General features: G+C 34.5%; 1 protein-coding gene across 2 annotated transcripts in view; it reads right to left on the bottom strand.

The window, feature by feature from the left end:
* The window catches only part of ITGA4 (integrin subunit alpha 4), an 81,736-nt gene that overhangs the window by 55,351 nt on the left and 14,369 nt on the right, over positions 1–12,016 (bottom strand). The window contains exons 3-9 of one of the 2 annotated variants that reach the window (NM_000885.6): positions 8,524–8,630; positions 8,302–8,431; positions 4,766–4,833; positions 3,324–3,453; positions 1,907–1,992; positions 1,168–1,230; positions 939–1,076 (exon numbers count right to left, since the gene is read on the bottom strand). In NM_000885.6, coding sequence (NP_000876.3) covers positions 939–1,076; positions 1,168–1,230; positions 1,907–1,992; positions 3,324–3,453; positions 4,766–4,833; positions 8,302–8,431; positions 8,524–8,630 — 722 coding nt within the window. Of the gene's footprint in view, positions 1–938; positions 1,077–1,167; positions 1,231–1,906; positions 1,993–3,323; positions 3,454–4,765; positions 4,834–7,369; positions 7,771–8,301; positions 8,432–8,523; positions 8,631–12,016 lie in introns of those variants that run through there. The other variant, NM_001316312.2, reaches the window with a different exon arrangement.

Here is a 12,016-nt window from a genome sequence, read left to right as displayed (position 1 = left end):
AGACTAGATGTTTTCTTTCTTAAATTGTAGAGTTTAGTCTGATGCTTAATATAAGAACTTGCTAAATGCTCTGAAACCATTGACTGAACATAGTTACAAATACTTTCTTGAAACAGAGTCCACTTTGTTGAATCCTGACTGAAAAATGCTATGCCATTATAAATGAACTGGTCTTCTCACAAGCCCACTCTTGTTTTCAAATCAAAGAACGGGCCAAGAAGATTTCATTAAGACTCCACCAATTTTTTGTTTTGACTTAACGCCAAGAATCTAGGCTGGCAAGATAAGGCCAGAAGTCTTTGAATTATCAAGTGGTCAGTTTCTACCACAAATTATCACTAATAATTTAAAATTGAATCACAGTCAGTAATTACCTATTTATGCAACTAATATATCCACTGTGGAATAAACCTTGCCAATTTTATATTCTTATCAAGAGCATAATATATATGAATTATGAAAATTAATGTTTTAACAAAACACATCTTGTTTCTAATTGTTTTCAAATTAAGAAATTGAAAATACTTAATTCTTCATCTTCTAGTCCTAGTAATATTTTATAATTTATATAAGGACCTTAACTAGAACTATTAAGAAATCTACATTTTGAAGGAGGTATGAAAATTATTCTTTCAAATTAGATTAGTATCAACATAAAACTGAAAGAAATTTCAGCTACCAGAGTGAACACATACAAGCTGTGAACAGAGAAACTCCCTAACAATCTATTTCATAGATTGTTCTGGAATATCAAAATGGGAAACTTTCCCATTCATCATCATATTCCATTTAATTTTTAGAGCATCAGTACAGTATTAGAATTTTAACTTTTGTCAATAAAAGAAACCTGAAAACAATCTCAGATCTCTGGAATAAGACCAATTTGAGTTTTGATCATAATTCCATAAATGGCTTCCAGTTGGGGCACTTGGACATACCGAGCCAGAGTTGATGTACACAAACACTCTTCCTTCCTCTCTGATGGTGCTCTGCATGGGTGCTCCCACGAGCAGATCTGAGAAGCCATCTGCATTGAGGTCCACAGCACAGACAGAAGCTCCAAAGTACGATCCAAGCTGTCCCAAAACAAACCAGATCCACTCATTGAGAAAAAAGCAGGGTTACTCGCAAAAGCCCACAGAGATACTAAAGGTAGAGACATATTACCTTTTTACCTTTCATTTCATGTAAGATATTTAGTTCTTTTTCATCAATGCTGAATATATATGCCTGTAATTAGGGAAAGAATTAGAAAAGTTTTTAGGAATAACATTTTTTAAAACACCACTCCTTTCTGTTTGATCAAAACATGAATTTTTACAACTTGCAGTTAATTGCTCAAATATAAAAATAAATCCTGTTGAGAGTGACACAAAAGGGTTTGGGATCCACTGTTACATTAATATGCCTTACTTGCAAAAGTATTTTCTCAGGAATTATCTTATTGATCCTATAGAGGGGGCACCGGAAGTGTTGTTTGCCTCAGTTTTCAAAAGTAAGGCTCAGAAAAGCTGGGTGACCAATGTTCACATAGCGACACAGCAAAAACTAAAACCAGGAATAATATTTCCTTCTTTCTAGTCTTACTACAAAATATGTAGCTACCTCAACTTCTTTTCAGCTGTGAAACTGTTCACCATATACTCCCTGGACATTTTTAGATAGTTCTATCTTATAATTTTCTTAAAACAATGTCTCGTTTGACTTTTGTAATTTTTCAGAAAGTTTTTTGCTAAATTTCTTCTAAAACCATAACATCTTTCACCAATTCCACTAAATGTAATAATCTGTTCATCATTTCTAATCTTTCTTTCCTTACAACATTCACAGTTTCTCCTTTAATATCTTATTCATGCAATATATTTGAACCTTTGTGAAGAAATAAATATAAAAATGTAATTCTTACCTTACCAATCTGCTCATGTTGAGGAGCTCCTCCGACTACTTCGGTAGTATGCTGGCTCCGAAAATGACCAGCTCCGACTGAATATCCTTTAAGAAAAGGGAGAAAGTATGAGAGTCCTGGGTAAAGTACATCATATGGTAATATGGGTAAAATAGATCATAAAATTAAATGATACCGAATTCAAAATCACTACATTAAGCAGTTAAGAATATTTAGCATAGAGATACTCAAAATTGGTCATTCATTATGTTTTATGCAATTTTGATATGTTTTACAAAACTGCAGTCATATGGTATGTATTTCCGAGTCCTAGAAATTGAAAATAGCATCTTTACATCTGGTGCAGTATAATCAGTTTCTAGGATTACAACAGACATATTTTAGAGTATATTAAATATAAAATCTCAATTGGGAAATGAAAACTTTAAACTTTAAATAAACATCTTGCTGAAGTTCAACTTTTTTTGCCACCAAATCTTTGTGATGACTTTTCGATGACAAAAAATTGTTCGTATTTTATGTGATAAAAGGCGTAACAAGTTATATTTCTTGAACGATTTCAAAGTATCCTTTCATCATAAACAAGAAAACATTGAATTGTAACAAATTCTTCTACTTGAAATTTCTTCTGTTTGAATAGAAAGAAAGAGTGCTTATTTTATAATTATTTCTGAGTGTAAGATGCTCACATTTGACACACATACAGTTTAAACAAAGCTGGATTTTCTGAAAATCTATAGGAAAAGCATTTATTTTCTTGTAATGGACATTAATGCCAGAAAAGTTTGCATTTCTGTTGAAATACAGATGATAAAGTATCCTACTATTGACTTATGAGATGACAGTGAGGAGGAGGAAGATGATAAAAATAGTTAAGCTCTGGGAAATATTCTAAGAACTTATGAGGTGAAGGTCAATGAGCTGTTTTTAGACCCATGTGCTTCATGGAGCCCCTCATCCAGAATGTGGTGGACAGTACCACTGGCTTTCAGTTGGTGCTTAAGGAAACTATACTTACTTATGCAGATGTTTAAATGAGTTAATTCATGTAAAGTTCTCACAAAAAGTTCCTGAGATATGGGAGGCACTCAACAGAAACAACCTGTATAATCAGTTGACTACATAGAGATAGAAACTTACTAGTGTTTCCTAAAGTGAACTACAAAGAGTAAACTAAACTAGGAGTTCTATTAAGAATTATATATTGATGATTTTAGTCACATGTGTAAATGTAAAATACTGAGTTCACTGAAGTTTCATAAATCCTATCCTTAAGAGACAGTTTCTGAACTGCCTAATTATTACTGTAATTATACTGGCCATTTAGATCTTTGGAAAATACATTTTCCTTATTTATAATTACAGTACTAGTATTTGTAAGGCACAGATCATTTAAGTTTGTCAATTTTTATAGTACCTAAATAACTTCCAAATTTTACTTGATTTTGTTTGTCTAAAAAAGCCTTGTATTTATTTGTAGTTATATTGTAGACAAAAAGAGAGCCAGTCCAGTAAGATGATCCTGGGGCCCCCATCACAATTAAATCCTGTAAGAAAAAAAAAACTATTATTATTTAAACTTTAATCTCACCACCCCAAACCTCCTCCAGATACACGATAGTGAAGAGAACATATTTTTATAATAATCAATTCCTGAAGTAGGAATATTCTGTGAAGTTAAAACATACTAGGAAAAAAAAAAAGCCAGAGAAGTTGGCTAATGGATTTCTAAAAGCGAAATCTCAGAGAAGAAACTCTGAAACTCTCATTCAATGCATTTATCAGTGGATTTCAAAAGTTGAAGGGACAAGTACTGAACGCTAGAGTAAGCTTTTGGGAGAAAGGCAATGTGGTTCCTATTAAAGAAAATCGTATGTGGGTAATTCATTAGTGCTAATTATGGAGATAATCATGTGTTGCCAAAGAATAAAAAGTAGACTTAATTTACTTCTATTTGCAAAGAACCCCTGACTAATAATGTTAGCTTAGGGAAAACATTTCTAATAATGTTAGCTTAGGGAAAAAAGTCCAATGGAATGTGGGGCATATTTTGTTATACAGAGGAAAATTTAGGAGAAGATTGGAATGAGCATGCCCTTGCCTGGTATAGTATGAACACTTTCAGCAATTAAATATCTTTAGCATATTTCTATACTCCTAAACAATCCTAAACTTAAAAAAAGTCAACTTAAACTGAAGAAAGCATTTTCTTTGTAAGCATTTTAATATAACTGTTAATATGTGCAGACACTGTCAACCCCAAACTTGATATAGTGCCTGATCTTCATGGAGTCAAAAAACATTCCTGAATTCACAGTGTGTTTTTAAGAAAACTGAGAGATTTGGGGTTGAGTACAACTGTGCCCTTTCATACATATCCTAGAATGTTAGAAAGAGAGTAAGAAATCTTGGGAATATTGTCTATCTGATTTAAGGGGATATTAAATTCTTAAATTTCCCAATTATCATAATTTAATGAAAAATATAGACTGATATTCTTCCTTTGCCCCTCAACTAGAAATTTAAAATAACATACTTGGGTTGATATTTTCAATACCTAAGTTAACAAGACAATTAACCATAGCTACTTTTGATTTTCATTAAATTGTTGATGAAAGAAATGTTCTTTAGTATAGATTTTCATTCATCTTATGCAGTATAGCCACCTAAATATTGATATTTTATTGAAATATATGTGGAATTTTGAGTGGCAAAAATTAAGTTGTAATACTCAAGTTTAAGAGACATGATGAAGATGTTACACAATTTTTACTTTAAAACATATCAGTCTTCCAAACCATGAGAAGAATTAAGATTCTATATGTAAACATTTATAGCAGCTATTTTTTGAACAATTACCTTTGTGTAAAAACTGGATATTCCAGCTTGACATGATGCAAAATTTTCTCCAAATTTTTTCACATAATCTAAAATGAAATATTAAAACAACTCAGAATTTTATCTTAAAGATAAAATCTCCATAATTTGTTTCTTAAATCCTTACAAAAATGTCCTTTAAGGTCTATAGTTTGTATTTTTTAAAAATAAAAACCAGTAACCTTGATATAACAAATCCCTTCCATATTAGTATTCAAAATATCCCTATGAAATGGCAATAAAAATATCTCCCTCTGCTTCTTCATAGGAAGCACACACAGCATATACTCAAAAAATTTTTGTCAAATGAGTAAGACAGAGGTAGGATTTGTGATTTTGAGCCCATGCTTTCTTTTTACTGTGTATATCTAAGGTGTACAACATCAGGTTTGATATGCGTATACATAGTGAAACAGTTACTACACTTTACATACCTCCTCACGGTCATCTTTTTTGTGCATTTAGAGTGAAATCTACTCTCTTGGCAAATTTCCAGTGCACAATTATTAACTCCAGTCCTCATGCTGTACATTAGATCTCTAGACTTATTCATCCTACACAAATGCCAACATCTTTCACCAACATCTTCCTATTCCTAACCCTCTCTCTGCTCACCTTCTTCTCTATGTATTTGACTTTTTTAGATTCCACAGATAGGTGAGATCATACAGTATTTGTCTTTCTGGGCCTAGCTTATTTCACTTAAAATAATGTCCTTCGGGGTCATCCATGTTGTCACAAAAGTCAGAATTTCCTTTTTTAAAGGCTGAATAATACTCCATTGTATATGTTTATGTATATATGTGTGTATATATACACCTCACACAATTCCTTATCCATTCATTCATCTGTCAATGGACACTAAGCTTGTTTCTGTAACTTGGCTATTGTGAATGCTGCTGCAATGAACATAAAAACGCAGATCTCTTTATGTGGTACTGATTTCATTTCCTTTGGATATATACCCAGAAGAGGGATTGCTGGACCATATGGTAGTTTTATTTTTAATTTGAGTAACTTCTCTACTGTTTTCTATAATGGCTGTACCAATTTACATTCCAGCCAACAGTGTGCAAGGGTTCCCTTTTCTTCACACCTTCGCCAACACTTGTTATCTCTTGCCTTTTTGATAATGACAATTCTAATAGGTGTGAAGTGATATTTCATAGTGGTTTGTAATTTGCATTTCCTTGATGATTGGTGATGTTAAGCACCTTTTCATCTACTTATTGGCCATTTTGATGCCTTCTTTGGAAAGAAAGCCATTTGGTCTCTTGACTAATTTTTAATCAGTTATTTGGTTTTTTGCTATCGAGTTGGTGAGATCCTTATACATTTTAAATATATAGGACTTATGCGAATATTATTTCCCATTCTGCAGACTGTCTCTTCACTCTGTTGATTATCTCCCTTGCTATGCAGGAGCTTTCTAATATAGTCTCATTTGTTTATTTTTGCTTTTGTTGTTTGAGCTTTTGGTGTAATTTCCAAAAACTCATTGCCTAGACTAATGTCAAGTAGCTTTTCTCTTATGTTTTCCACTAGAAATTTTATGGTTTCAGGTATCGTGTTTAAGTCTTTAATCCATTTTAGTTGACTTTGGTATATTTGCTAAGATAAGCGTTCAATTTCATTCTTTTGCACGCAGATAGCCAATTTTCCCAAAGGCATTTAAAAAAAAACTTTCAGGTTCAGGGTTCATGTGCAAGTTTGTTGCATAGATAAATTGCGTGTTGTAGGGGTTTGATGTACAGATTATTTCCCCATGCAGGTAATAGGCATAGTACCTGATAGGTAGTTTTTCAATCCTCTCTCTGCTCCCACCGTCTACCACCAGGTAGGCCCTAGTGTTTGTGCCTACTTTGTGTCCCTTGTGTCCATATGTACTCAATGTTTAGCTCCCACTTATAAGTGAGAACATGTGGTATTTGGTTTTCTGTTCCTGTGTTAGTTCGCTTAGGTTATTGGCCTCCAGCTCCATATAAGTTGCTGCAAAGGACATAATCTCGTTATTTTTTATGCCTGTGTAGTATTCTACAGTGTGTATGTATCACAGTTTCTTTATCCAATCCAACATTGATGTGCATTTAGGTTGATTCCATGTCTTTGCTATTGCTAACACCATTAATTGAAGAGAGTGTCCTTTCTTAGATTTTGCCCAACTGAAATATAGACTGAATCAAGATCTGCATGGACATAAAGGTCTATTATTACAAAGTCCCATGAATGAATGCTTTTGGAACTTTCTAAGGGGGCAAAGCTTTGCTTCTTCCAAAAAATGATATAAGTAAACTTCTATGAAAATAAGAATTGGAACCACAGCTTCCTTTTGGCTTTGCTAAGCAGAAAACTTCAATAAATTGGTAAGTCATTTATAATGACCATTTCTGGTCAGGAGTTTTCATCCCTTTAAAAAAATATATCTTACCTGATCCTGTATTTTACAATTGTAGATGGGTTAGGTTTATGGCATCTTGAGATTTTTGTAGTATGTGGCTATGTATATCCGAGAAAAACTAAAAACTCTACTATGAAAATATTTTAAAGATAAACCGAAAACTATTAGGAAAAAGAAGACAGCAAACATACAGAAATCAAGACTGAGTTTTATTGCAACTGAGAATCAATATTCACTTTTTTATCTTTTGGGTATCCGAAGGCAAAATAGGAATATATGTAATATAAGCTGCTCTGTGACATCACATTCCAAGGAAGAAAGACCAAAGTCTTATTAGCACCCATAATTGAACTCAAATACTTGGCCAAAGTTTTGCCAACCAATAAAATTTTTCTTTGCGTGCTGAGGGATTTTTTTTGAGTGAGGGTGGTTAGAAAATTATGAATTTGCATTCATATGTTTCTTAGCTCCTAAAGACGCATTGTTGGATTTTAGTTTTGCTGCAGATATCCTCTGACATGCTCTGTTGACATTCACCCCAATTCTGCTCACTTCTGTTATGTCCTAGCTCTGTACTTGCTGATGCTACCTATAGCATAGAGTTACCATGAGAAAAATGTTTCAAACTCAAGACACGAATCTCTTGCTGCTTGAAGGAAAACATGTAAATTAGAAAAAGAGATAGTGAGTGCGAATGAAAGATTTGCTTACACTGATTATTCTTCCCAATTACTCCTGGAAGCTAAAGGTAAAAAAGGAAACCTAAAGTCTTTCTTTTTAATCAGACTTCCAATATAATTTCACAATTTAAATGTCCTATATTTGCTGGGTACTAGTCTCACCTATACCAAATTGAAAGTAAATTTGATGCAAAAGTGGGTAGTTAAAGAGCTAGATTTCAGAGTTATTCAAATTGTAGAATTTTTATAGCACAAAGTGCATTTATGAAAAATAATGCTATTGCAATTGGGTAAAGAAAGAAATTGAGTAGTTAAAAAGAACATAATTACTTAGAAGATCTCCCTCTCCTCTGAACATCTAAACTTGAACATAAATTTAAAACACTAAAAGGTATTCACTTACTTATCTTTATCTAATTCGTATCAAAATCATGCCTTACCTTGATAACACGGAGCTATTCTTTTACTCAGTTCTGTTCGTAAATCAGGGGGCACTCCATAGCAACCACCAGTGGGGAGCTTATTTTCATTCTTTATGTAAAATATATTTTTCCATCTATGCCCACAAGTCTGAATAAAATAAAAGTAGACCAAATGATGTGAAAGCTGCACCCAGGATAGCTGATTTCACGATGGATCTGTGGACCAGTTCCAATACCTACCACGATGGATCCATTTTCTCCTGGCTGTCTGGAAAGTGTGACCCCCAACCACTGATTGTCTCTCTCTTCCAAACAAGTCTTTCCACAAGGTTCTCCATTAGGGCTACCTATAGCATGTGAAAATAATTTTATCAGTTGTATTGAAAACATTCTACAAAAGAAGAGAAAACTGTGCACTCATCCCCAGTATTTTTCTGTTAACTACTTCTCTATCTTATATTCAGTGCACAATGTGAGGATAAATGTGAATTACTCTGTGCCAACTAATTATTCTCTAATACAAGGTGACTTTGGTTGTAGAAATGACCTCTGACTGGTAGCACCATAAAAAGATAGACTCAATCATATAAGAGATAGCTAACAGGACTAGGAGTGGGGAAAACCACTTAAAGCTAATACCAGGTTGTGCAACTATAACTGCTGTGTCTAACGTTTGGAAAAGAATTAGCCATTTATCTAACAACGTAAGCAATATTATCAGAGCACTTTTAAAAATGTTTCTTCTACTGAGATATTAAGAATAGAAAGACTATAATACATCCTCAGCAATTAAGGTACAATTTATTGGAGCTGGAAGGTGATGATTAAGCATGCAGAAAGTGGAACATACAATTAGCATACCAATAATGCCTTGCGTTTATAAGAAACTGCCCTATGTTTACATTTATTGGAATATGACTCATGTTTTCAACAGAGATAAAAGTGATTTGGAAACCAGATTATCTCAGTAGTAAACAAAAAACTTCAATAGATACTTTGGCAAATGCATGAATAGCCAAACATAAATAAAATGCTCATGTACTAGATAGTACTTCTATACTATATAAGAAGTGGTCTTCACAGTGATCATTATTTTCTTTTGTTAGAAAAAATTATTTGTGTTATAGCTGGGTTCCTATTAAAATCCCATGTTAAGTAATTTTAAATAAGTTACTTTGGGGAAGAGTAAGATGCAGTATCCTAATATTCTTTTTGCTGTCTTTCTTTTCACCCTCTTCAGTTGGCATATGACAATTCTATTGCATCTGTTCTTAATTCCTGGCAGATAAATACATTAGCATCAATTTGATTGGATAAGGATGTGGAACTTCGGTTTGTTAATTTTGAACACTAGTCACTAGGTACCAAGTTTTCATGAATTTATGGTGACCATTCTCTATATCATTGGCACTTTGTCTCCTCCTATAATGTTGACCCCTAAATGTAGCTTCCTGGGCAAACTCAGAACACTTACAGAGATACAAACTAATATTTTTATTTTGGTACCAATGGGGGTCTCACTATGTTACCCATACTGGTCTTGAACTCTTGCCTCAAGTGATCCTCTTGCTTTGACCTCCTAAAGTGCTGGGATTACCAGCATAAGCCACTATGCCTGGTAAGGCTAATATTTGAGAAGTGAAATTATTTGCACTAAGTCTCCTGGGTAGGAGAGATTTTGTTTAAGGAGTGTGGGAAGATGTTTGTTTATACTTTCGTTTTCTAAAATGTCATTCAGGAAAAACAAAACCTTTAATCACAACTGAAGTGAAGAAAATGTTTGAGCTCCTCCTCTGGAGATTCTGCTCCAGCAGATCCAGGTGAGGCCCTGATTACCCTAGGTCAGTGGTTCCCAATCTTTTTGGCACCAAGGACTGGTTTCGTGAAGACAATTTTTTCCATGGGCAGTAGTAAGGTTTGGAATGAAACTGTTCCACCTCAGATCATCTGGCATTAGATTCTGCTAAGGAAAGCACAACCTAGATCCCACGGCTGTGCAGTTCGTAATAGGGTTTGCACTCCTACGAGAATCTAATGCCACCACTGATCTGACAGAGGCAAAGCTCAGGCGGGAATGCTCACTGGTCCACTGCTCACCTCCTGCTGTGCAGCCCAGTTCCTACCAGGCCACGGGCCAGTACCCATCCACAGCCCAGGGATTGGGGACCCCTGCCCTAAGTGGTTCTCATGGTCAGGAACACTGTTACTGTGAAATGCAGAGAATGTTTTTCTCGACAGCATACACATAGAATAAATGGCAACCCCCACTAACTGGTAATGGCTTCCTGGAGAACTAGACTGAAGGGAGGAGGACTAAGACTAGGTCTGGACAAAGAATGCTGGGGTTGATTGGCAATGGTTGCTATTAGAATTGGAAAGGAGTCTTGCTGTGGCCCAAACCTTGGTAAAGAACAGTCCAGGTGGACACATAAGGTCTCCGTGTTAACTTGAGAAAGGAAGGGATGAAGAGAGAAATGACACGAAAAGAGAAGGGGAAAACAGAGGGAAGATGGTAGGAGAAAAAAAATTGTGTGTGGGAGATAGGTAAGGTCTAAAATAGGGAGTTGTTATTGTGGCTACCTAATGCCAAACCAACAAAATTTAAATTAAAAGAGAATGACAAACAAGGCATTTTAATTTTCATTATAATACAATTTTCAGTTTTCACTAAAATCAATTGTTTACTGTCAAAAATAGATAACAAATGGTAGATTCAGTCTACATGAAGTTCCTGTTATTTACTACAATAGCCATGTTAATAAGTTCCCTCTGAAAATACTAAAATTTTTATGAATTTATAGTCAACACTCAGTTAAGACAATTGAGCAAGAAGAAAATTAAGGACAGGAGAGGATGGGGGTCACAAATAATATGGCGTGTATAATAGACACTTTCATTACGATTACATCCAATATTTAGAAACAAATCTATTATTCTAGAGAGAGCCACCCAGAAGATTAAAAAGACAATAGTTTAGAACCACAATGTACCATGTAAATAGCTTAATGAAAATGGCCAAAAAATTATGTGCAAAAATAGTGTATTGTTATCGGTTTCTTAGCTGAACTGTTTTGTAAATTTCTAAGTGAAGACTAGACAAACTCTTGCATTATGAACTCTTATCTATTTAATATTCTGCATTGCCTCCTTCTTGTTTTAGTTTTAGCTCCATCAGGTAACATCACAATGTCATCACTGCCCAGGCTCACACTGAGGTTTACACACACCACAAACTACTCACTTTCTCACTTACTAACATCACTTCCCTGAAACTTCTTTCTCTCCACATGAGTGCCTCTCAGCTCTCTGGGAAAAGGGCCACTAAATCATTAGGCTATTTTAAGATGTGTCCCATGTAGTCTCACCAAAGTCCTGGGACTTTATTTCCAGTGTGGCTCATGCCCTTCCCTTCTTCTTGTTCTAGGCTAAAAATAATGATTCTTAGAAATAGGAGAACAATTAGCCCTCCAGAAGCCACAAGAAAGAGATGTTTACTTAAGAATAAATGTAGGAAGAGCTTTCCCAGGAAGCCAGTGATGTGGTTCATTCACCCGTGAGCAGAAGAGATTCCAAATAGAAAAACATATGGCAGGTGTGTAAGTGGGAAATTGGTGGGGTGGGGGTCAAAATGCCACTAGATGTAATCTCATATCTGTTACAATGTGGTTCCAAACAATAGTTGCCTTCTAATATATAGATAAAATTTCTGATTCATTAATTTTCAAATATCTCC

The sequence above is a fragment of the Homo sapiens genome, chromosome 2 (genome assembly GCF_000001405.40).
Source record: "Homo sapiens chromosome 2, GRCh38.p14 Primary Assembly".
In the NCBI taxonomy this organism is placed as follows: domain Eukaryota; kingdom Metazoa; phylum Chordata; class Mammalia; order Primates; family Hominidae; genus Homo; species Homo sapiens.
Note: the sequence above shows the minus strand (reverse complement) of the source record. Positions and strands in the feature narration are given on the sequence as shown.